At 43.6% G+C, this 26,503-nt stretch overlaps 1 protein-coding gene and 1 long non-coding RNA gene across 3 annotated transcripts in view, besides 3 other annotated features; one reads left to right on the forward strand and one right to left on the reverse strand.

Moving 5' to 3' along the window:
- Positions 1-15,706: 15,706 nt before the first annotated feature.
- Positions 15,707-17,945, reverse strand: LOC124904545 (uncharacterized). Its single transcript, XR_007066935.1, has 2 exons — positions 17,542-17,945; positions 15,707-17,365 (listed from the first exon to the last, which is right to left on the reverse strand). It is a non-coding gene; the product is annotated as an uncharacterized LOC124904545 (long non-coding RNA).
- Positions 19,523-19,662: a silencer, noted in NCBI's record as "silent region_1941". NCBI's record gives its function as "represses an Ori minimal core promoter by ATAC-STARR-seq in GM12878 lymphoblastoid cells {active_cell/tissue: GM12878}" and the evidence as "EXISTENCE:reporter gene assay evidence [ECO:0000049][PMID:35858748]".
- COG2 (component of oligomeric golgi complex 2) overlaps positions 19,729-26,503 on the forward strand; it is a 51,502-nt gene continuing 44,727 nt past the window's right edge. For both annotated transcript variants that reach the window (NM_007357.3, NM_001145036.2), the window contains exon 1: positions 19,729-19,926. In NM_007357.3, the coding sequence (NP_031383.1) occupies positions 19,855-19,926 (72 nt within the window). In that variant the 5' untranslated portion in view covers positions 19,729-19,854. The remainder of the gene's footprint in view (positions 19,927-26,503) is intronic.
- Positions 19,753-19,972: an enhancer, noted in NCBI's record as "active region_2719". NCBI's record gives its function as "activates an Ori minimal core promoter by ATAC-STARR-seq in GM12878 lymphoblastoid cells {active_cell/tissue: GM12878}" and the evidence as "EXISTENCE:reporter gene assay evidence [ECO:0000049][PMID:35858748]".
- Positions 21,276-21,395: a silencer, noted in NCBI's record as "silent region_1942". NCBI's record gives its function as "represses an Ori minimal core promoter by ATAC-STARR-seq in GM12878 lymphoblastoid cells {active_cell/tissue: GM12878}" and the evidence as "EXISTENCE:reporter gene assay evidence [ECO:0000049][PMID:35858748]".

The following is a 26,503-nucleotide window of genomic DNA, read 5'->3' on the forward strand; positions in this document are numbered from 1 at the left end:
TGGCTGCTGTTAATAAGGAGATCTTTCAGAAAAATTCTTCTGAGCCAGCCTATGCCTGCCACCTACTCTCTTATCTTCAATAGTTGATTAGCCCCTCTAGCTCTCAATTCTTTCTCTTGGATTTAAGATTTCTAGATGCCCCTAATTACCCTTTGCAAACAATATATTTCACATTACCATATTGCGGTGCAAAACTGGATAAAACTGTTCAAATCAAGAGGACTCTGATTCCCTATCCAATTTTCAGGAGACTCGGTCTTTTCTTGCTCCATTATCCCATCTAGATAGTCCTGAGATGCCCCTGCGCGGCCTGTGCTGGTTCCTGACATCTGCTCCTGCCATCAACCTGCCCCTTCTAGCTGGGAGGTAGTGAGAATGCAGGCAAGGGTGGCTTCTCTTGCTGTGGCCACATGGCCTTCTGGGGGAGTCTCTAGACCTCCAGCCGAGAGTGCCTGGGAGATCTAACTGGCCTTGAGATGGGCAGGCCCATAGTGCCACCCAACAAGGGCCCAGTTGGCAGTGCAGTCATGCCTCTCCCCACAGGTACCCTTGCCCAAGGCTGGACAATGCCCCTAGGCACCTCAGGCAGGCTAACTGGGCTACAATTTGGTCAGCATAGTAGAGGTGCTGAAAAATCCCAGCAGCACACCTCATACAGGAAAACACACCCAGGGCTTAATGGAACCCACCTTCTTCTTTTTTTCCATTTTTTAGAAAATTGTGGAAAATATACGTAATATAAAATTGGCCACTTGCTATGGTTTGAATGTCCTTTCCAAAACTCATGTTGAAAGTTATCTTCAATGTGGAGTATTGAGGTGAGGCCTTTAAGGAATGATCGGATCATGAGGCCTCTGCCCCGGATTAATCCATTCACAGATTAATGAATTAAAGCTATCATACAATGCCCTGTGCCACCTGAGGATACCACAGAGAGTCCTCACCTGCAATAAGGCTCCCCTGACCCCTGACAACCATCATTCTACTTTCTGTCTCTATGCATTTGACTCCTCTGGGTACCTCATATAAGTGGAATCACACAGTCTTTGTCTTTTTGTGACTGGCTTATTTCACTTAATATAACTTCCTCAAGGTTAATCTATGTTGTAGCATGTGTCGGAATTTCCTTCCATTTTAAGGCTGGATAATCAATATGCCATTGCATGGATGGACTACATTTTGTTTTATCCATTCATCCATCTGATACAGGAGTTAAGAGGAAATCACTTAGGCAGGTAGTAAGGGTATGGAAGTCCTCGGTAAGGCTTTTCTTTTTAATGAAAAACAGCCCAAATCATTTTCTAACAAAGAGCAGCCTTTAAAGTCGAGCTGCAGACACAGGCAAGCAAGTTGGGGGCTTGCACGGGTGAATGCTGGCAGGAACTAGGGACTAGACATGCTCAAGATGGCGGCTCCATCATCCATTCTCTGCCAGCCACGTGTATAGTAAGAGCACACAAGATGGCACCAGCCACGGAGAATTCATTTGTGTAATAAGATTAGGGTGGGGTGACCAGCCTTCCTCGCGCTATGACGTGTGATATGACGCACGATGTGACGTCACACCTGATTGAACCAGTCTGTGAGCCCTAGGTAAATAAGACACCACCTCCTCAAGCTGGACTATAAAATCCCGTTCATTTGCCACCAGCCGTCTTTTCCGCTGGGAGACCCCTTTCTCTCTATAGAGAGAGCTGTTTTCTCTTTCTCTTCTATTAAACCTCTGCTCCTAAACTCCTCCCATGTGTCTGTGTCCCACATTTTCCTGGCGCGAGACGAGGAACCCCAGGGTATATACCCCAGGTAACGTAGCCAGGTCACATCAATGGATATTTGGGTTGCTTCCACCTGGCGACTGTGAATAGTGCTGCTTCGAACACTGGTGTACCCTCTCTTCTTTTGAAGGGAATTTAGTGGCCTTCAGTTGTCACTTAAGCAAGTCCCTGGCAAGCCCCAAAGCTGCTCGTGAGAGTAGCCCTTCCAGCTGCACAGGCTGATCTCATCTCATGACATTTCCAGGGTTGTTTTAGTGCCTCCTTTGTCGACCACCTGGGCAGCCCACTCCTGAGTCTGGCTTTGGGGCGGAAGTTTCTGCTCTTTCTGACAAGAACCTTTCAATTCATGCACACACAGCCCTTCCCTGGGACATGAGCCTGCGTTATTATAGAATGGCTGACAGAGCTCTTCTATGTCAGCTGCCTCCAGCTCAGAACCAACCTCGCCTTGTGCGAGTCTCCCTGGGTCCCCATGGTGGATTCTGTCTCAGAGCCTCAACGCTCTTCTGTGGTTGGGGCCTTAATTATCACAGTCACTCCTTCACATTCTGATATTTTTCCCTACTTTTAGGGGGGGAGACAATATACTGCCATCATATGGGAAAAGGAAGTGTGGCTTCTCCATTTTTCTTGTCTGTTCTTCCTCATAGACCCCCACCTTGTAGGGAAAGCAAGGGGTGGGAGAGTTTAAAGATCTCATTCTCCTCTAGTTTAAAGAGAGTCTTGCAGACAACTGAAATGCGGCTCCCTCTCAAGGCCAAGTTAAGCCCTGTCATTTGTGTGACCCAGTTCTTCCAGGTAAAGGCACCCTTTTCCCATTTGTCCTCCCCATCTCTGCCCCACAGTGGCGTGGGCTGGGTGAAGACCCCAGGGCAGAGAGGCAGAAGCGCCCTGGGTCTGTGCTGCATCCTCTGGCACTGTAGGTCTTTGTTGGCTTGTGGGTTGTCATGGACACATCTAGTGTGCTCCGCTGCTGAAGTCTGGATCCCGTTGTAAAGTCCCAGTGTGCTGTGGCCTTATCACATTCCCATTCCTCTTACTCTCACTTTCACTCTCCACGAGGAGTGGGGGCCTCCTATGTCCTCTGCACACCACAGGCAGCCAGTGGGGAGCCAGGAGCTCTGCCGCAAGTTCAGCCAGCCAGCTCTTCACCCCCACCTCCCAAAGCCTCCTGTACTCAAAGACACGAAGCTTCTTGGCTCAACTTGAGAGGTGGCAAGAGGATTCTCTGTATGTGAAAGAAACTTTATTCTAGAGTCTATCAGGCCTGGCTCTTAAAAGGTTAAACGAAAGAAACTTCGTCTAGCTGTAGATTTAAAAAAACCCAACTGTGAGACTCAAAGACGATCGATGACTATTTTGATTTCGGTGGTACCTGCTGTCTTTCCTGAGACTGATGATTTGACAGTAGGAATGGAAGCCCACATGGAATGTAATTTCATGCCAAATTGAAAATGTATTGACTTCATTTTTATAAAAGATAATCTTCATTACCCACAGTCAATCTTAAAGAGAACAAGAGGGGTTTCTGCTCTCTTCCCTTTGGGGGTCCCACTTCTGGTTCTGCAGATGGTTTCACTCACTCCCAGCAAACCTAACCTGATCACAGAGTGGACCTGGGCCCATTGGTGGAAAAAGGAGGAGGGGGAGCTCAAGTTAAACGGAAATGTGTTATAGTCTCACTACCAAATAATGGGTGGACTCTTGCTTAACTTTTTAGTTTCTTTTTAAGAAATTAAAATGTAAATTGATGTTTCCATCTTCAGAAACCAAAACTTGCCAGTACCCCACAAATGGCAGACTTCAAATATGGGAAACTTACTAACTCCCTCTTTTGGCTCTCTGCCATTTGGGCAATGTTTACATCTTTGACTCTGCATCCTGTGTCACAGATGAAGCGTGAGCCATTTCATGTGCTGCTGTTGTTGACCTTTTTATTTTTATTTATTTATTTATTTATTTATTTATTTATTTATTTATTTTTGAGACAATGTCTCGCTCTGTTACCCAGGCTGGAGTGCAGTCCTGCAATCTCAGCTCACTGCTACCTCTACCTCCTGGGCTCAAGTGATTCTCTCACCCCAAACCTTGAGTAGCTGGAACTACAGCCACTCAAAAAAAAAAAAATAGCCCTGCTAATTTTTCTATTATTATTATTATTATTATTTTTTTTTTTTCGTAGAGATGGGGTTTCACCATGTTTCCCAGGCTGGTCTTGAACTCCTGGGCTCGAGCAATCCACCCACCTCGGCCTCCCAAAGTGCTGAGACGTGAGCCACCATGCGCAGCCTGACCTTTTAAAACCTGGGAGGCACAGCAAGAACTCTGGAAACCAGAGTCTTTGAGTGAGTGAATTCCTTCTAGAATACTTGAAACTATCCCGAAAGTCTTTTTTTTTTTTTTCTTTTTCCCAAGACGGAGTCTTACTCTGTCACCCAGCTTGGAGTGCAGTGGCGGTATCTCGGCTCACTGCAACCTCTGCCTCTCAGGTTCAAGCAATTCTGCTGCCTCAGCCTCCCAAGTAGCTGGAACTACAGGCACACACCACCAAGCCTGGCTACTTTTTTGTATTTTAGTAGAGACAGGGTTCCACCATGTTGTCCAGGCTGGTTGCGAACTCCTGACCTCAGGTCATCCGCCTGCCTCGGTCTCCCAAAGTGCTGGGATTACAGGTGTGAACCACTGCGCCCAGCCAAAGTCTTTCATTTATACCTGCTTTCCCTCAAGTGCCAATGGAGATTCATGAATTGTAACAAATGTACCCTCAGGTTGGAGATGTTGACCGTTGGGGAGGTTGTGCATGGTGGGGGAGTGGGGAAGGGTATGTAGGAAGTCTCTGTTTCTTCCACTCAATTTCACTGTGAACCTAAAACTGCTCTAAAAAATAAATTCTATTTTTAAAAATGGGAAAAAAATCCAAGATCCATCACATGTAAAATTGATTAAAGTATATTTCATTAGTATAAATTTGTAACTGAAAATTTATAATATTTACTTAATTTTTAATCAATGAATAGGAATCACAAGGTGATACAAAAAAACTTGGAATGAGGAGTTGTATTTGACAATTAGAGAGTCAGCATCCAAATTATATCTATGTTTTATGTTGTATTCATTTATATTTTGTTCCTTGAGAAAATTTTGATTACAAAGGTAAATAATTACAAATAAAAACTGACTCATAATATTTTGCCTTGAAATCTCAAGGTATTCATTCTTTAATCTAAATTGAAGAAAAGGTGACAGAAAATCTTTGCTTCAAAGTTGAATCACTAAGAATGTCTAATACATGCTTACACTCCTAAATGCAAACATAAACATTTTATAAGGAGTACACAAATTTACACCACGATGTATAATTTTACACCATCATGTGCTGTTACATGGCTGGCTATCCTGTCCTATGGAGAGCATGAGGATCTCAGGGAGGAAGACAAGTTGAGACTTGCCCATTTGAGCAAAGCTAGTGTGCATTTAACACCTTTGTCTAAGGTCTTGTAGGTTAGTACAGACCAAGGCATTTTTGACCAGGCAGCAAGGGGAGCCAAAAGCCATGCCACGCTCTGCCCCCAAGTCATGCACCCAACACAGAGCTGCATCTGCCCAGAAGAAGGAGTTTCTTTTCCTAATTCACATGCAGGTGACTTATAAAGACAATAAGGCACTATATAGTCAGCAGTGAGAGGTATAGTTGTGTATTCACGCATTTCAGTTTTATATGCTTGAATATACACAGGCATGAATTTCTTAAAAGAGCAGTTGAGAGTTTCAATTTTTCAAGTTCCAATTACATATTTGGAAGATCAACTATATGCACAATAATGACGAGAACAATTTTATTCAATAGTCTGCACAAAGATAAATTAATCATGGCTGCATAAGTTAATGTAGTGGTATTCTTTAAAGTGTCAAAATTCAGTGTATAATACACCTAAGAGTATTGTTTGCATCATTTTAGCAGAAAGAAAATGAATAAATATTTTATAGGCATTTAAATGAAAACTACATGTGCAGTCTCAAAAACTATGGAATAAAAATGAGGTCACATATCCATTAAATCGAAATTAAATGGCTTAAATATTTTGTTTAATTGTGTTGTTTTTACTAGAGACAGGGTCTGTCGCACAGGCTGGAGTGCAGGGTGCAGGGTTGTGATTATGGCTCACTGTAATCTCAACCTCCTGGGCTCAAGCAATCCTCCCATCTCAGCCTCCCGAGTAGCTGGGACTACGGGCACATGCCACCATGCCTGCCTAAGTTTTTAAAATTTTTTGTAGAGACAAGTCTCTGTATGTTGCCCAAGCTGGTCTCAAACTCATGAGCTGAAGCAATCCTCCTGCCTCAGCCTCCCAAAGTGTTGAGGTTACGTGGGTGAGTGAGCCCCCACTCCCAGCAAAATGATTTCAAATTCTTACCCACTTCCCCAGATGTAGTTTGAAGGTCAAAGATTGCTGGGCTGTTGGTTAAGATATCCTTGCCGGTACTGCTGCCATTGTAACCACAGCAGTGTGCAAGGGGTATTCTGGAATCATAAAAAAGAGATGCCTAAACCTGATTTAGGAGAAGATGCTGAAAAAATGCTAGGAAAGATTGTATTAACCCTGCCACTTATTTTCTGTATTCTGTTGCTTTTATATCTGCGGCCTTGCTGACCCTGGAGGGACTGCCCCTCCAGGACTGTTTAATTCCTAGAGATATTAAATGACTTGCCACAGAGTGTGCCTTTCATATGAAAACCAACCAATCCAGAGCCCACACCCCACAACCCCCTTTCTTATTGGGCTCCCATATGTAGGGCCACTATTCTCCTATCCTAATCACCTCATGGCCAGGTGCAAGACAATTACAGATGACCTCTGTGCCCCAGAGCCTGTTGAAATTATTCAGACTAGACCATCCTAGAGCTGCTTCCCTGTCTCACCCATTCCTTCCCACAAAACCACCACAAAAGCTCTCTCCCTGGATCTCCTGACCAACCCTGGTGCTTCCCCATGTGGCCCTTTGTGATATGGTATGCCCCCTCCTCTTGGGAACTGTAATAAATGATCTTTTCAAGGATAATTATCTCCTGATCTGCTGGCCTCATTATACTTGAATAATAATAAAATCCACATGTTAAAACAAAGACTTCCTGAAGGAGGTAATGTATGAGATAAGGTCTGAAGAATGTGGAAGTATCATCTTTGTATAATGAGGCAGCAAATGGTGTTTTAGGTACAGAGAACAGTATGTGCTGGAGATAAAAGAAGGCAGAAGCCACCCAAGAATTCAAGTAGCTGACTGTGGCTGGAGCACAGAAAGTGAGGAAGATGTGGGTTAAGGTGGAGTTGAAGAGGTTGGCAGGCACCAGATCTGGAAGGTCTTTATGTGCCATGTTTAATAATCTGCAGAAAACATCAGCTACTGAGTTGTGCCTGACCACTATGCTTTCTCATCTTCCTTCTCCTGCAGACAGCCTGCTAATATCTGTGGGATATTTCTCCCACACTTTATGCTGTCTGGTTGGGGACATCTGATTGGTCCACCTGACCAAATTTGACGAATCAGAATGTTCCCTGGGATTGATATAGAAATGGTGGGAAAGATGCTGTTTTTCTACAGAAGTGACTGGCTTTGGTGGATGTGATTCCAGAGCTGGCAGTGGTGGTCTTCCCTGACACTTGGAAAGACGCTGACTAAAGAAGAAAGCACTCCAATGGAGACAAGTAGACATGAGACACTGACAGTGAGAAAAAAAATATTCCACTGATTTTAACTCCCGATTTCTTGATCCTGAAATTCTAGTGTTTCTGCTTTTCTTTGAATACTATGAACTACCACAGAATCCTTTTCTATGTGAACATGAGAATCCCTTTTTTAAAGTTTTGCTTTGTATTTTTTTCCCTTTTGTTCAATCCAGTTTGCTTTGAATTGCTGCCATTTGCAACTAATGGGTCTTAAAAAAATCCTTCACTAAGGAAATTTAGAGATCCTGAGGAATTTTAAGTAGGAGAAGGATGTAATGGGATATATATTTTAGAATGATCATTTTGGAGCTAATATGGAGAATGAATTGGTGTGGAGAGAGAAGGGAAGGAGACATCTGGCTGGAGGTGGGAAGAGACAAATTGGAAAGCTTTTGTAGTAATTCTGGCAGAATATGGTGAAGGCCCAAAACAGAAGGGAAAACTGGGCAGTTGGAAAAGATTAGATAGATACAGAGGCGGGATGATTAATGAGATTTTGGTAAAATCTGAAATCGTTAGGCTTCTAATACACTTATTTTAGGATTTAACATTATCATCTTTAGAAAATTGTCTCTAGTGGTGATGATACCATAATCTTTTCAGTGATTAAAGACAAAAATCTTAATCTGGCTTGGTTTGTAAATAATCAAATGGAGTTTAAGAGCAGTAAGCAGGGCACAGTGGCTCACACCTCTAATCCGAGCATTTTGGGAGGCCAAAGCAGGAGGATCACTTGAGGTCAGGAGTTCGAAACCAGCCTGGCCAACATGGTGAAATCCTGTCTCTACTAAAAATACAAAAATTAGCCGGGTGTGGTGGTGTGCACTTGTAATCCCAGCTACTCGGGGGGCTGAGGCAGGGGAATCACCTGAACCCGGGAGGTGGAGGTTACAGTGAGCCGAAATTGCGCCACTGCACTTCAGCCTGCGTGACAGAGCGAGACTTCATCTCAAAAAAAAAACCCAGTAGCAATAAAAAGCAATTCAAGGGTTTGGAAGGGTGGGTGAAGGGGAGTGATAGCATTCCTCTCGCATTTTAAGAATATCCTTTGACTGCTGTGTGGAGAATGGCTAGAATGAAGGCAAAAGTACAAACAAGGAAACTAGTCATTCTTCAATATTTATGGAACACCTACTATGTGCCAGGTACCATACTAGACCCCAGAGATGGAATAGTTAATAAGAAGGATACAGTTTTTGGCTCCATGGAGCTTCCATTTTAGTGGGGCAGTCAGACTATAAGCAGACAAATTATCTATCTATCTATGTATCTATCTATCTATCTATCTATCTATCTATCTATCTATCTACCTATCATCTCTATCATCTGTCTATCCAACCATCTACCTATATCTATCCATCTCTTTCATCTATCCATTTATATCTATCTAATGTGTCTTCTATCTGCCTACTTACCTATCTCTATCATCTATTTATCTATCTCTACCATCTACCCATCTATGCACCTATTCATCTACCTATCTATCTCTATCATCTGTGTATCCATCCGTCTACCCATCTATCATCTATCTATCTATTCATCTATATATCTGTTCATCTCTCTGTCTATCAGTCTATCTATCTTAGGAGTTGATAAGTTTTAGGAAAAAAGGTAAAGCAGGGTATGGGGCATGGCAGGTGGAGGTTTACAGGAGCAGGTTGCTATTTTATTAGGCTGTGTCAGGGAAGTTTATCTTATTTGAGCAAAGACCTGGAGAAAATAAAAGTGTGAGCAGCAGTAATATCTGCAGAAAAGCATTCCAAACAAAGTAAACAGCAAACTGAACATGGGAGCGTGCCTATTGTGTTTGAAGAAAGGCATGGGGATCAATAGGAATGGAGCAAGAGGGGAAATGGTAGGAGACAGGGAAGAGAGGTAGTGGGGTCCTGATCACGTAAGTCCTCAAAGGCCTTTGTTAGGATTGACCCTTACCTCTGTGACCAATGAGAAGCCATTGTATGGTTTCAAACAGAGAAGAGGCCTGCCTTGGCTTAGATTTGAAAAGAATCCCTCAGGCTGCTTTGTGGAGTATAGACTCGCAGGAGGATGAGCAAGGGTAGAGGCAAGGAGACAGTTCAGAGGCTACTTGCGTTCATCTAGATCAGGTTTCACAGCCTCTGCACCATTGACATTTAAGGCCAGATAATTCTTTGTTGTAGAGGCTGCCCTGTGTGTTGTATGATGTTTGGCAGCACTCCTGGCCTTTAACCACTAGATGCCAGTAGTGACCCTTCCCTCAGTAGTGCCACCAAAGATGTCTCCAGACATTGCCAAAACCCATGGGGAGAAGAGTGGACAAAACCTTCCCCAGGTGAGAACCACTGATCTAGATGACCGATGACAGTGGCATGCACTAGAGCAGTAGATGGGCAGGTGGGGAGAAGTGGTGAGATTCTGTATGTGTTTTGAAGGCAAAACACACAGAATTTGTTGATGCATTATGCGTGGATCCTGTGAACAAGATAAGGATTAGGAAGATTTTAAGATTTTTGGCCTGAGGCACTGGAACAATAAAGCTGCTGCTTACCAAGATGGGAAAGACTACAGGAGGAGCAAGTTAGAGGAAATCAGGAGTCTGGTTTTGGATGTGTTGAATTTGAGATGCCTGTTAAATCCACATGGAGGTGACAAGTAGGCAGTTGGATATACAAGTCAGGAGTTCAGGAATGAGGTCCAGGCTAGAGACAGAAATGTGACAGTCATTAGAACAGAGGTGTTACTTAAAGCCTTGAGGCTGGGAGAGCTTGTCTGTGCAGGGAGTAGAGATAGGGAAGGTGTGTTAGGCAGCATTTTAAGATGGCCATCTGATATCTGACCTATGTTATGTCCTTTGAAAGTAGACAGGACGTAGACTTGCTTCTAACTAGTAGAATATGGTGAGGTAAGGGGTTGTCCCTCCTACAAGTACACCATGTTACATAAGTCTGTTTTTTTGCTGACTGGAATCAGAGGCTTTCCTGCTGACTTTGAAGAAGCAAAGGGCTTCTTGACAACCACTGTGGAGAGGTCTCATGGCAGGGAACTGCAGGAGACCTCTAGGAGCAGAGGGCAGACTCCAACAGATAGCCAAAAAGAGGCTGGGGCCCTCAGACATATGGGTGCAAGAAAATGAATTCTGCCAAAAATCTAAATGAGTTTGGAAATAGATTCTTCCCCAGCTGAACCTGCAGATGAGAACATAGCCCAGTCATGCCTTCATTTTTGCCTTGAGGGAGATTCTGAGTTAAGCAAAAACAGGTCTGAGTTCAGGAGCACATTGGTGCTGAAAAGTTGAGGTCAGGACAAGCCAACAAAGACTGGCAGAAAACAAAGGCAGAGTCAGAAGCTAAGTGAATAAAATGAAACATTTTGAGAAAAACAGAGGGACTACTGTGTCAATTGGGACTGACAGGTTGAGTAATCTGAGGTCTGAGAATGACTTATGGGATTTGGCAAAGTGGTGATTATGAGTGACCTTGAAATGACCTTGAAAAACAGCTGTCTCCCTAGAGTAGCGGGACTGAAAGCCTGATGGCAGTAACTGAGGTTAAAACACACACACACAGACACACACACACACACGTCAGGATTTGGATTCATATGGGAACAGCAATCAAGTCTGCATTCTGTTTTGGAGGTAACATCAATAGGACTTGCTGACAGACGGGAATAGGGGAAGGGAGAAGTCATCCCAAAGGTGGAAGCCCTAGCCACTGGGTAGGAGGCAATGCCTTTTACTAAAATGGGAGAAAACCAGGAGAGGAACAGGTAGAGGAGGGAACCAGTTAAAGTTATGTTAAAAACCTGGTGTCTCTTAACATATCCCCACAGAGAAATTCCATAGGCAGTTGGATATGAGTCTGAGCTCAATAAACAGGTCAGGATTAGAACTTCAGAGCGTTCCATTTACAGAAAGTACTTAAACCAATGATACTGTCTAGAATCATTGAGAACAGTGGTTCTGAAACTGAGAGATGAGGGTACATAGGAGGTGGCGATCTTGCTTCCAGGGCACACTGGGCAATGTCTGGAGGCATTTTTTATTGTCACAATTCAGGCAGGGAGTGCTACTGGCAACTAGTGTGTAGAGGCCAGGGATACTGCCAAATATCCTACAATACACAACAAAGAATAATATAGCCCAAAATGTCAGTTGTGCCAAGGTTGACAAATCCTGGTCTAGAAAGCACGTTGCTATAGAAGGAGACTCAGAATCAAGCTCTGGGGAATCTGAAATGTGGAGGTCAGATAGGAAAGGGTAATCCTTAAGGGAGATTTAGGATATAGGTCCAGAATAGCAGGGAGAACACCTACGTGACTATGATAAACTAAGAAAAGAACAGGAAGTGAGAACCGGGAGACCCCGAGCACAGGTTGCTAGGAGTAGACGTCTTTGCTCACACACCTCCTGATAGAATTTATATACCATCTTGAACATTTTTAAGTTGACACCTGAAATAGTTCATCATAAGTCTATATTTTTTAAAATTATTTATAGGCTGAAAATATTTAGTATTTTAAAAATATAACATAGGAAAAGATTGACTTGATTGGAATAAAACTTGCCTGATACAATTTACTGTTTTTTAAATGCTAGCTTTCAGTTATTCTCTTTACTTAACCATACTGAATCTGAAAAACCCCTGTTAAAATGCTGATTTGTGTTTCTACCCCCATTGTATCTGGACACTTTTGGTAGTCCCTCAAACCAATTTAGTTTAATTTAAAAGAATCAATGTCACTAACCCAAAGGGATTCTGCTTTTCTGATTTCAGAGCATGCTAACAGTAACCCAAAGACTCTGTTTCTAATGATACCCTTTGCTCTTAACAAGAAAGAAAGGAAGTCCTAAGTGTTGATGTTTCTGTTAAAAAATTAAGGGAGACCAGTTTTTTGGGGCTGAGGTCCTGCGCTAGGCCTCAATGGACCAGACTAAACTAAAATGGAGTCACTCGTACTGACTGCCATTTAATCAAACTGAAACTTTAAGGAAGGAGATAGATCTCCAAACAGACCAGTTTTTTCCTGAAAACAGGAGATTCCAGTCCACTTGTGTCAGCATCATACGGACGTTTCCCCTGCTTTAACCCCTACAAGTCACCTCCTGAAGTAACCTGATGTTAACCAATCAGCTTCTTTTTTACTATTGTTCCGTTTCCTTGTTCTCACCTTACAAACCACCCCCGTTCTGCAATTTCCCAGTGGGACCTCTTGTTCTATTTTTTTTTTTTTTTTTTTTTTTGAGACTGAGTCTCACTCTGTCGCCCAGGCTGGAGCGCAGTGGCACAATCTCTGCTCACTGCAACCTCCGCCTCCCAGGTTCAAGTGGTTCTCCTGCCTCAGCCTCCCGAGTAGCTGGGATTACAGGTGCCCGCCACCACACCTGGCTAATTTTTGTATTTTTAGTAGAGACGGGGTTTCACCATGTTGGCCAGGCTGGTCATGAACTCCTGACCTCAGGTGATCCGCCCACCTTGGCCTCCCAAAGTGCTGGGATTATAGGCGTGAGCCACCGCATCTGGCCTTCTTGTTCTATTTTGTAGGATGGTGGCTGCCCTGATCCATGAATCATAAATAAAAGGAAGTTAGATTTATCACTAATGATATCTGATGCATTCTTGGGCATATCAGTTCTACTACAGAGTGTATATGGAAGGAGAAGACCTGGAAAGGGACTCTCTTATAATGATCTGTGCACAAGATTGTATAGAGAGTTTTCAGGTATCCCCAGGGGAATGGTAACCAAGTTGGGCAACCAGGGTATAAAGAAGTATTTTACAAGCTATACTGTGAATGACGGCAGGGCAGGAAACTCAGAGGTTGCTGACAGGAGTGGTCCATGAGAAAGTAGGCATTGAGGCCAGGCGCAGTGGCTCACGCCTGTAATCCCAGCACTTTGGGAGGCTGACAAGGGTGGATCACTTGAGGCCAGGAGTTGAAAACCAGCCTGGTCAATATGGTGAAACCCATCTCTACTAAAAATACAAAAATTAGTTGGGCATGGTGGCGCATGCCTGTAATCTCAGCTACTCGGGAGGCTGAGGGAGGAGAATTGCTTGAATGGGTACCCGGGAGGTGGAGGCTGCAGTGAGCAGAGATCCTGCCACTGCACTCCAGCCTGGGCTACAGAGTGAGACTCTGTCTCAAAAAAAAAAAAAAAAAAAAAAGAAAGAAAAAAAAAAAAAAAGAAAAGAAAAAGCAAAAAGAAAAGAAAGGAGGCATTGAGTTACCTCCCAGAGTGGAGTCCTGGAAAGGGCTGGAGAGAATGAGTCCCAAGCACCCGAGGAGGGAACTGACTGTGTGACAGTGGGGATACTTGCTCCCCTATGACAGTCTCTCACCGCTCTTCTCACTAACTCGGCTTTATCTTTAGTGAACTTTTAGTTTTTATTAGTTTATCGTGCATCTGTTCCATTACAATGGAAATTCCATGATGAGAGGGACTTTTCTGTATTGTTCATTACTGAATTACCAGTGCTCAGTGTATTGCCTACCATAGAGTAGGTGTTTAATAAATGCGTGTGGAATAAATGATAAAAAATGAAAATACCTGGACACAGATATAGTATAGATGTGATCTGATGGTAAGAACATGTGAGAATTGTTGTGCAATTTGCTTCTGTTTCCCCAACAAAAGGTGACAGAAGGGCATGAGCTAAGACAGAGGGGGCGTTGTGGGGAAGAAGTAGGGGAGAAAGTTGCGGCAAGTCTTGAAGGCATGAACTAGTCATTTTCATTAGAGAGAAAGCAAGCCTGCTGGAGATACAAGGGAGTTCGCAGTCACTGCTGAGTATCCTGCTGGGGCTCAGAAACTGGTGCCCTGACATATGGCACTTTGACACGTTGAACTGGAGAAGCAGCCTCAAGGTCTCTACCACCCCCTCCTCTTCTCTGGCTCCAGTTCTTTGTCTCTCCTAAAGCACAGGATGAAGTTCTTCTCTGAGGTTCCCTAATATACCTGGAAACCAGACCCCCAAAGAGGAACACAATTGCCCTCCACCCATTCCCTGAAATCTCATTCTGTATCACAGGAAGGAAGACTGAGGAGTACAACCACACCTGGATGGACTTTTCCACAAGACACTGTCTGCCTCTAGGGCTCATCTAAATTCCAAAGAGAATCATTTTCAGGTTACTTTCTGTCTCCTGGGTCCATTCATTTCCCCTGTAAATTATTTCAGTCCTACACCCCCATCTCCCCACTTCCCAATAAAGAGCATACTTAAGCATCAACCAGCTGGCTGTTTTGGAGTTTTCATGTTTTGTATGATTCCAGTGCACATGTGTGCACTTAGTAAATTTCTGATGCTTTTCTCTGTTAACCTGTCTTTTGTTATAGGAGTGTCAGCCTTGACCCTTTATGATGGGGAGGAAGGGGATCACCCCTTTTCTGCCTCTGCACCCATTTGAGGTTTGTGGTTGAGTATTTTAAAGTGCAACTGGTTGGCTCAGTTCTGTGATTGATTTCTAGGTGTTTGGCTTATGCAGCTGGCATTTGGTGGAGCCATTTATCAAGAAACAAAATGAAGGAGGATAAGAAAGCCTTTCAGGAAAGATAATGAATCAATTTCGAACATGCTGAGTTTGAGGCATCAGTGGGACATCAAAGTGAAGTAGTATTATACATGGGTCTAGTGGAGGGGGGAAAGAAGCACATGGTGAAGATGTGACGGGAGAATTGTGAGTATGTGGACCAGAGCTGAAACCCTAAGGGCACAGCTGAGATGACTGTGGGAGAGGGTAGCATGGAAGAGAAAGGTTAGCAGAACCCCGAGGAGCACTAATTGTGAAAGAGTCGCATACATTTATCATGCTTGAAGGTCGTGTCTCTCTAAGCAGATTCTGAGCTCTTCAGGGTCAAAGGCTGGGTCTTGAGCTTCATTCATTCTTAGCCCCTGTCATAGTGCTGGCCACACAGAAGACAATTCTAAAATTCACTCTGATTTTATTTCTCTGCACTTTCATTTATGAGGATCCTATCACGGTTTATGATTTGAAATGCTAAGGGATAATTTTTTTAAAATCATAACTTTCATACGAATATAAAAAGAACACTTGTAAAGATTTGAACTCAGTACTTAACAAGAGAACTAGTAAAATGTTATCACCACTTCAAGAGACAATCTAAAGAGCAGACAAATATACAGCCAAGGATGTGCGAATGAACTTCCCTAAGATATGCAAAACTGGCTTTTTCCAAAGGAAATTGAGGCAAGATGGGTCAACTTTACTTTCACAGGATAAAATTTATTTGCATGTTTATAGACAAATGTTACTATTATTTGCATTGCTATCAGTTATGCACAACTTACAGAGTTGTAAAATAGCTTAAAGTCAAGAAAGGCACAGGATACACCATAGAGTCACATCTGGAATGGCATGCTAGACTGACTCTTTTTCCTTTGAAGACAACTGTAACCTTCTTGGTTCATTTCAAAGTCACAATTTCTCCTGTAATGCTAAAAAGGAAAAGATATTATCCCTACCATTTCTATGAGTGGGGTCTATTACAAAACATAGATGAAAGTATATTTGGGTATTACTATAACATTTCCTAGTTGATGAGGGAGATGAGGCTGAATTGGGGACCCCCCCTAACATAATGTCTTCTAATTGGCATGGGAAATGTTCACGAATCAAACCAAACCACCTCAAATCCACCCTGGAATGAGGCAGAGTTATAAACAAAATATAGAAGATGTTGAAATAGCCCAGTTGGTTCATTGAGCTTTCCAAGTCAGAGTGCAGGTCCTGAAGGTGGTGACTGTCTCCCCTGTCCCCTGCTGCTCCACCCCTACCGCCATGTCTGCCCTCCTCTAGGAATGCAGGACCGTCTGACTGTATCCTCAGCCTTCAGGTCAAGCACATGATCTGTTTAAAAATGGAAACCCTCCTATCCTTCAGTAGTGAACAAGGGCGACTCTGGTTGCTTTTGGAAAATTCAGCTGCTTTAGTCCAACAGTTCAGGAGAGGATCAGCATAAGAACTTGGTGATGATTACTAGAGAAAATGCTCCTATGATTTCCTGAGCATAATATTTCCCCTTGCAATTTTTGAGTGTTCTATAGCAAACCTGCCAAAAATGTGGAGCCTATAAATAGGGGAGAGTGGGAAGAAAAAAATGGGACCTCTCACAATGCCACTGAAAACAGGGAACTAAAAATTTTCCAGAGATGCAAAGTCAAAGGGGGATTAATATTTACTTAGAAATGAAGTAGCAGGTGCATGCTTTATAAAGAAAAGCCAAGAAAGGATGAAATTAGGGGAGAGACTGAAAAAGATGGAAAAATGTGCCAACTAAAGTCTCATTTTGAAGAAAGTTACAGATCAACAAAGGGGGAAAAACTCAGGTAAAAAGACTCCATATTATGTCTTGCATTGATTAGGCAGGTGCTTTATATGCACTTTTAAATTTTCTCTTCCTGCAAATACTATGAAATAAGTATCACTACCAGAGATGACATTCAAATATTTAACAGCAGACAAATATTTAACAGCACAGACACTAGCCAATCAGAAGCTGGCTAGAGGAGCCCCGCTAAGCCAGGCAGTAACCCTCTAATGGCTGGATCATGAGGCCAAGGTAGGGGTCAGGGCAGCAGCAGATTCTGTACAGAGGCCATTCACCAACCTTTGAGATGTTGCAATATTTACCAAGTAGCACAGCTGAAATACTGTGTGCCAGTTGAACATCAGCTCTGAGTGGAAACCCAGGGCCATGTCCTCTGGGCAGGTGTAGGCTTTCTCTCTTGCGTTTGTCCTCTGTAGATTATGATGCTAGCATTGAAGTCTTTCTTGTTGCGCCTGGCTGTGGTGGTCTGCACCACTATCTGTGTCTCCAAGCCGCAGCCCACTCCATGGGGTCCTGATGGTTCCCTTCTGAATCTAGGGAGGACAGCAGGCAGCAGGGACCCTCCATCGCTGTTGCCACTTAATCCCTTTAGCATCCTCAAGATAAGCCCAGTCTGTACAAATTCAGGTTCATTTTATTTCTAAAGTCCCAGGAACAATGTCAGAAGGGAATTACAGTGAAGAAAGAAAGAGTTCAAGTTCCAGCTTACCTAGACTTCCTGCAGAGCCTCGAAAGAGAAGGCAGGGTTGCAGACATCTTTGTTTCATCTGTCCAGCATCCTCTCCCGTGCCTTGGTACTGGGCTTTGAAGCCAGGCTGCCTGGGTTTGCAACTTGCCACTTATTAACAGTGTGACCTTGGGATAAAGGCCCACCTTTCAGAGCCACTATAGATTGGTTATTGGAATTGCTGGTTTTGTTAGGTGTTACAAAATGTCAGGGTTTTTTTTTCTTCTTTTGATGCGTAAACTGAGGTATTAGGGGATAGGAAATGATATGGTGTTTAGAATTTGCTTTAAAACATATTCCAATAAAAGGGCTGGACTCAGTGGTTCATGCCTGTAAACCTAGCACTTTGGGAGGCTGAGGCGGGTGGATCATCTGAGGTCAGGGGTTCGAGACCAGCCTGACCAACAGGGAGAAACACCATCTCTACTAAAAGTACAAAATTAGCCAGGCATGGTGGCACATGCCTGTAATCCCAGCTACTCGGGAGGCTGAGGCAGGAGAATCGCTTGAACCTGGGAGGTGGAGGTTGCGGTAAGCAGAGATCATGCCATTGCACTCCAGCATGTGTAACAACAGTGAAACTCCGTCTCAAAAAAATATATATATATATGTATATATATATATATATAAAACAACAAAAAAAGAAGGTCTCGATGCGGTGGGTGGGGAAGGGCAGAGGAGACAGGTTGATGATGGTTGAAGCGAGGTGCTAAGTACATAGGGTGGGGTTCTTGTGCTCTCCACACTTCTGTGTACTTGAAAATTTTCATAACAAGAGAAAACAAAAAATTAAACAGAAAATGAGGTTTTCATTTCCTCCAGCAAAACAAACATAACAGGGACTTAGGATGTACTTTTCCCAATCGCTCCTCTGGCAGAATATTTTGATCCTCCAGCTAGCTTCCGGCTCTTATCCTGTTCATCTGTTCTGTAGATACTGGCAGGAAATAGGCTCTTCAACAGGGCCTGCTAGGTCCAGTGCTAGGGAGTAGAGCGTTTTGGATTCTACGCCTACATTTTTTTTTAAGTGACCAGTTTTCTAGTTGAGATACTTGAAATACAAAGTCTCATGGTGAGGTCTTACCCTCTGCTGTCCCATTCCTTTTTACAGGCCATCATGGCGTTAATCTTATCTCCAAGGAGAAAAATTGGGAAGAGAGGCCTAGATTCCTCAACAGAAGCGGGAAGGAAAGGTTTGCAGAATGAAGAGTGTGAAGTGAGGTTTGTGGTTTGAATCATCCGAATGTCAAGGAGAAAAGAAGAAAAATGAATCATCATCATTTGACCACGGTATTTACAGCTAGCGGAAGGGACAAGAGGAGAAAAAAGCAAGGGAGGAGATAAAGGAAGAACGTCTCAGAATAAAATTGGGGTGGGTGGGGGGAGGAGGAGGAAGACAGTCTAAGAAATTGGTTTGGTTGCACCAGTACTGGCCACAACACAAAAATTTGTCCATTCCTGGTTGAAATTAAAAATAAATGTGCATGCACATGTATTTGTCTGCTGTGTTTAATCAGATAGCGAGGCACTCCTTTAAGCACCTTGAAGACCCAAAGTTGCGCTCAGAGGCTGCCCACCTGGAACGGAGACCGAGGTTGAGCAGGGAGCTACTCAGAGGACCCAAAGCCGCCTAGCTGACCACCTTCTTCCCTATGAGTTCCCAGTAACGGAGCCCAGTGGAGGAGACGCTACACTTCTCTGTGGGGACAGAGGCTAAGGGCGGGGGTCTCCATAGAGGCGTTAGCGCCCACCAGCGGCAGTGACCGCGCACAGGGAGGTGAAGAATGCGACCACGGTGATACGTCCAACCTGGAAAACGGGCCTGAGAACCAAAGGGCCAACTTCTGGCCATGCATAACGAAGCAGAGCAGTCTCAGGGTAGAAGGCACTGGAAAAGCGTTGTAGGACAATTTTTCCCAGTAGAAACGGTGGGGGTGGGAGGGAGACCCGCTCACCCCTTTTGACCCACCCCTGCAGCTCAGCCACGCCTCCTAGGGAGGTGGGCAGCCTTGCAGGAGCCCGCGCGAGGCTGCAGTACCGCCCTCCGCCACATGAGGGCAGCACGGCCTACCCGTGCAGCAGCGGCGGCCCCCGCGCCCCTCTTGGCCAGAGCCAGGCGCAGGCCGGCTTGCGGTGCCGTCGTTCATTGGCCGCGGCGCGGGCGCTGCCATGTTGGCGGAAGCGGACCCCCCTGTGCCGTGGAAACTGGCGGTGGCCGCGGCCGCCGAGTCGGTCTGCGCAGCCTCCTGCGTTTTCTCGCTTGGATCTTGGCACTGAGAGGCGGTGGCCGGCGGGATGGAGAAAAGTAGGATGAACCTGCCCAAGGGGCCGGACACGCTCTGCTTCGACAAGGACGAGTTCATGAAGGTGCGCGCGGCGTCCGCTCCCCGGAGCCGGGCCATGAGGGTGCCTCTGCCCTGTGCCCTCTGTGGCGGTCTCTTCGGTCGGCTGCTCCTGCCTGCGCACGCTCAGTGTCAGGTCCTCCGCCGAGACCTCGCTGCACTTCGCAATGAGTCTTTTGGCGTCAGGTTTGGCGGGTGCAGCCTGGAGAAAGCACTTCTGTAAAATCGTGCGTGTTACATGGAAAGGCCTGAAAGTTCTGGGCAAGTGGTTTTGAGCTGCATGTCAAAGCCACTGTTACCCGTTCCTGTTACCATGCAGTGCAGTCAGATTGCCAGTCCCCTTGTCGGAAAGAAGCTTGTGGACCGGGGCCTTGGAGCTCATTAAGTGTGTGTTGAATAAATCTCCAAGCCCACGTACTTTCCTAGGGACTCGGGTCGGAAAGAAAAAGAACTTAATCTGAAGTTTTGCTTAACATTCAGCTAAAGCTTCCAGAATGGGATATTTAGAAGCTTAGAACATTCTTACCGACTATTGCAGTACGACAAAGCAAACCATTACTCTTTAAAGAAGTTGCTCTACTTTTTACGTGATGCATTTGAAGAAGTTGGTAGTTGTAGGTCATAAACTTAGAGAAAAGAAATATAAACTGAAAACACTTCACTGATGATAAAGTTCATCAGGCACAGCCTTGAAAATGGCCAGGCTTTGAGTGAGAGCTGGGAGGAGCTTTGCTCCTACTTGGTGTATCCCTCTGGGTCTGCACTTAAGCCATTCAAAAAATGTTTCTATTTAATTTCCTGAGGACTAGGATTTTTGACACCTTTTAGTAGCTGCTTTCAGTGTTAAAAAGCGAAAAGTTTTAGCTGGTTAGTAGACATCTACAATTTTGAGCAAGTGAGTTGAAATCTTACTCTGCCTTTCTTGGTGACATAATGTTTTCTAGATTAATTAGCCTATCTCTTTTTGATAATATTTGCATTCAGATTACATCTCCAAAGCTGTTTTTTTTTAAAGTAGATCTGTATCTTCTCCAGTGTGACCATATCATTTTTCGTATGTAGGACTTATCTATACCCAGGAATAATGTACCTTATTCTTGTAAGTGATATTCCTATTAGACCACTGTACTAAAAGGTGTAACTTCATTAGGATGTCTCAAAGAATGTACAGAATCAACTCATTGATCCAGAAACCCTTCGTTTTGCCTACTGGCTAAGAGCTACCCTGAAATGAGGGTAGAAAGAAACAGCTAAGGGTACATGCTGGGGAGAGGTGCCCTGGAAGAGGAAAGGCCATACACGGAGATCAGGGGCCTTGTTGACGTCAAGAATCTCAGAGTACAGAATAATCTCAGTTTGTCCATCTCTTGACTTCTTAAGGCTCAACACCAGCATCTTCTCTGACTCACTAGCCCCACCACCTTTCCCACTCTGAGTTGACAGAATGCCTTTGGTAAATGCAGCTTCAGGAAGTGAAATCACAGAAATACAAGTTCTAAAATAGAACTTAGAGTGCAAACTGGGGTGGTGGCTGGAATGCCAGCAATTGCATATTTCGTGGCTCTGTGAATATGCGGTACATTTTGTAGTGCTTATAAAAGTGACAACATACATAGAAGAAAATACATAGAACAGCTGTTCTGTGTAAAATTTTGTTGATTTTTTAGGTGGAGCTTGAAGATAAAGGTTATTTGCAATTTGTGTTGCCTTAAACATATAAAACTACATATAAGTTGCACTTCCATGGCAGAAAGGATGGTTGGAACACTTGTCCAGGCTATATTTCTATGTTTGTGTCTCATTCAGCACATTTTGTAATTGGATAGGTTTTGTACGTGTGAGAAAGTTGGGATATGACATTTGCATTGGGAGATTTGAGATTGCTTGAAAATCCAGATTTAAAGTTGCTTGAAATCCACTCTCTTCTGTTATTACCTCTCTTCTGGTATTACGTCTCTTCTGGTGTTGATGGGAAACTGTGTTTAGGTTGCCATAGATCATGAGGGCATGCTAGTGCAGTGGTAGCAATTGTTCAGTCAGTGGGCATTCCATGATCACCTGCTGTGTGCAGGTTTCAATGGGCCTTGTATACTGTACTGACGGATTTGCACTTGATTTAGTATTCATTGTGGAGTTACAGTCAGGTTAAAAGCAGGAAATGACATGATCATGTATGTTGCAGTTGGAACTGACTGGTGGCGGGAGGCTACTTAAAAAGTTATTTCAGTGGTTTTTATGAGATCTGAGAAATACAGGAGGGGATAGTTTGTGGAAAATATTACGTAAATGATCAAAAAGCAGGAGTGGCAGATGAACGAATCACTTGAGGGGTCAAAGGTGGTAATGGCATGATACTGTTGACTTCGTCAGCTTAATAAAATATACACACTGAGCAACATAGTGAGAATGCATTTCTACAAAATATTGAAAAATTAGCCAGGTGTGGTGGCACATACCTGTAGTCCCAGCTACTTGGGAGGCTGAGGTGGGAGGATTACCTGAGCCTGTGGAGGTCAAGGCTGCAGTGAGCCAGGATTGCAGCACTGCACTTCAGCCTGGGCAACAGAAAGAGACCCTGTCAAAAAAAAAAAAAAAAAAAAAAAGAAAATGTACAAACACTCTTAGAGAGGGTTGACAATCAGTAGATGAATTAGGATGTAAGATACTGGTAGTAGGAGAGAGGTGGTAGGCTAACAGGGATAACTTAAACCCACTTAACCTAGGTATGCTGTGGCAATCATATCCTTCTGTCTCACGTATGACTTCATGTGTTTTACAGAAAAAATAGAGGCCATCAAGCGGTAGCTCCTTCATCTTGCTGACAGCAACCTCGTTCTTGCATTTGTACCTGTTCTCACTCCCATCATTAACCTGTTGTGTAGGGCAATGGTCCCCAACCTTTTTGACACTTTTGGAAGACAATTTTTCCATGGACCAGGAGTGCAGGGGATGGTTTTGGGGTGATTCAAGCGCATTACATTTATTGTACACTTTATTTCTATAATTATTACATTGTAATACATAATGAAATAGTTATAAAATTCACCGTAATGTAGAATCAGTGGGAGCTCTGACCTTGTTTTCTTGCAACTAGACAGTCCTGTCTGGGGGGTGATGGGAGACACTGACAGATCATTCAGCATTAGGTTTTCATAAGGAGTGCCTAACCTAGATCCCTCGCATGTGCAGTTCACAGTAGGGTCCATGCTCCTATGAGAATCTAGTGCTGCCACTGATCTGACAGGAGGCGGAGCTCCAATACAGAGTGGCTGTGAATACAGGCTGCGCTCCTCCTGCTGGGCCACCCGGTTCCCCACAGGTAGTTGGGGACGCTGGTGTAGGGGTCTTTCCTTCCTCCTGAGGTCTGCCTCCCATGCCTGGATCCGGTGCCCTCTCCCTTCTCAGGACCCTGTTATTCCCACCCTCTCCACACTTCTTCCCATTGGCTTTCAGACACACTCCTATTTTAGTTTCTTCTACTGGACCCTCCAACCTCCAGTTAAAGCCCATCGCTCTCTTCCATCTCACAGCCAAATGCTCACAGCCAAATGTTGTCTTTACTTTCTCTCCCTTCACTCTTAAATTCACTTCACTCTGGTTTCTGGCCCCATCATTCCACTAAAGACTTCTCACCAAAGTTAACTAGATGGAAGTCGATCCACCAGACCTTCTCTGCTTCCTTCCCTGACCTCAGTAGATCAAATGCTCCCTTCATTTGCTTTCTGAAACCTGGTGCTTTCTGGTTATCTTTTGGCCTCTCTGGTCTCCTTGTCTCTTTTGCATAATCATTCTCCTCCTAGCCATTAATTGGTGGGTTATGGACTCAGCCACGTGTCTGTTCCTTTTCACATGCTGTGCACTTTCCGCAGGTGACCCACTTCATGCAGCTTCAATGACCACGTGTAGACAGGTGAAAGGTTCATACTTCTGGCCCAAATACCTTCTTATCTGCAACCCCATGTGCACAGCGCCTTGACATCTCTTCTTGGCTATCTCTGTGGCACCTCAAACTCGGCATATTTAAAACTGAATTTGTTGGGGGAAGATGAAAAAAACCAACCTTCTCTCAAACTTGGCTCTCTTCTGGTATTACCTATCTCAGGTAATACTAGACCTGAGGTAATCCATCCATCTGGTTGTGAGTCAGATGTTATCAAGGAGTCATCCTTGATAACACCTCTCTCCTTCACATTCTTGAAATCCAACCTGTTACTAAGCCTTAGGATTTCACTTCCCAAATATCTCTGAAATTTGTCTACTTCTCTCCATCTCCTCTTTTCCCACTTTCTGACTCATCATTATCTCTGGCCATTATAATCTAGTGGCTTCTTACTGTAGTCCCCTGGCATCCATTCTTGCCTTTTTCTAGTCCGTGTTCTACATCACAGGCAGGGTGCCCTTTTCAAAACGCATCTCGGTGCTTGTATGTAACAGGTGCTTGTATGTAATCAGACTGCCACCTGTATACACCATGAAAACATGAGAAAGCATTTTCCAGAACACTTGGAAGTATTCCAGAGCAGCTTATTGCACTGATGGACAGTTTCTATTGATTAGTAGCTATCTTGGTTATCTGATTGAAAAAACATAGCGTATATAGAGTTGGGTACTATCTGTGGTTTCAGGCATTGACTGGGGGTCTTGGAATATATCTCCCTCAGATAAGGGGACCCCTTACTGTAGTTCTGAGGCTCATCTGTATTCTAAGTGTGTAAATAGGGAATATTGAAACAGGAGGTGTGTCCAAGAGAATAATGCCTGGCTGATTGAATAGCAGTGACCTGGAGATGTGGGCCCCAGTTTCAGCTCTGCTGAGCACTCGTGTGATTTTGTGCAAATCGCTGGCCTCTGCGGGCTTCAGTTTCCTCATTTATGTCATGGGGTGATGCTTATCTCAATACTCTTTGCAGTGTTTCTGGCTCTTGTCGTTTTATGTTTCTGTGAATAAAGAAACTTACAGTTGCCCCTCAGTATCCGCAGAGGATTGATTCCAGGACACCTCCCACCCCTTCACAGATAGCAAAATCTGCAAATGCTCAAGACCCTCTTGTAAATGGTGTAGTATTTGCATATAACCTACTTACATCCTCTGGAATACTTTAAATCACCTCTAGATTACTTATACTACCTAATACAGTGAAATTGTTGTTATACTGTATTTTTATTTGCATTACTTTTTATTTTTTTAATTATTTTTTTAAAGACTCTTTTCAATTAATGACTGATTGAATTAGAGGGTGTGGAATGCTCGGATACAGAGGGACAACTGTAGTAGATTCTTCCAGTTTGCAGATAAAGAAACTGAGGTCCAGAGATGTTGTGACTTCCCCCAGAGTCACACAGCTAACTGGGGCAACCCAGGGCCATTATCTCATGACTCCCAGGCTTCAGTACTGGAAAAATAATCGTGTCATGCTTTCCTTTCTAGATGGTAGAAACTTTGGAATGTGTGATTTTGAATACTGAGAACAGCCCAAAAATGTCACATAGTCCCTATGCTAAAGCACATGCATTTTATCAGTAGGGACAAGATTGAGGGCCATCACTTAATTTAAAACAAATTGTAACCCATCTAGTGATCTGGACTCTTGGCCTGTAGATGAGATACAGGAAAGCGGATGTAAGTGTGAAGGCAACAGCCCAGTGTTGCTGAGTGCCGGGCACAGCATGTGCCATCATTTCACAGCAACTAAAATGCTGACCTTACAGGTTCATGGTTTCATTTTTGGTCTTCATGAAAAGCTTGAATTCTCTTTAGCTTCAGTTTGCAACACAAATAAAGAATATATTTGAGACTGATTGTCACAGAATTTTCTAATTACCCACATGTGGAGCGATTTCCTAATGTGAAATACTTTTCTTGATGGTATGAGATCAGTACCATTGGACATACACAGTTTATTCAGTTGGCCTTTGGTAAAAAGAAGTTCTTTGGTATGCAAAAATTTTCCAAGTCACTTCTTGCAATATTATAAAATGTATTACTTGAATAAAATGTTGAACTCATGGTCCCTTGAGTTTTTATTACTTGGGATATTTCTTTGTTCAAAGTTAGATAAGCATCATGTAAATAGATCTTTGTTGTTCAGTCATACAGCATTTAACATCAAATTTCTTTGAGGATTTAACTAACCAAATTAATCACAAAATGGGGCTTGGGCTTTCTCAGGTGTCCCTAATACACCCACAGCAGTAAGCACTTCAGAATGAGATCATTCTGCTTAAGAGCTCAAGAAATTAAGTTGAGAAAGTAAGCTAGAAGACCACATAGATTGTCATTAGTGTTAAACTGGGGTAAAAAGGAGAGAGAAAGAGAAGAAATCAGCTGGGACAGAGCACAAATATTTGTTAAATGGAAGTGACAGGTTATAGGTTTTCTTTGCCTTCTCGTAAATACATCAAACACAGATACGGTATTGAACAGAGGATTTAGACATAAAATTGATTAATCCATTTAAACATAATAAGTTATTTAGAACTTAAGTGCTACTGTTTCATAAAACTTCTAATATCATCTGTCCATAGATGCTGGAAAACACTTTAGCATACATTTTTAATTTCTCAGGCTTCAGTAATTTGGTAACCAAATAAAGGTTTAGAAT

This window comes from Homo sapiens, chromosome 1 (assembly GCF_000001405.40).
Source record: "Homo sapiens chromosome 1, GRCh38.p14 Primary Assembly".
In the NCBI taxonomy this organism is placed as follows: domain Eukaryota; kingdom Metazoa; phylum Chordata; class Mammalia; order Primates; family Hominidae; genus Homo; species Homo sapiens.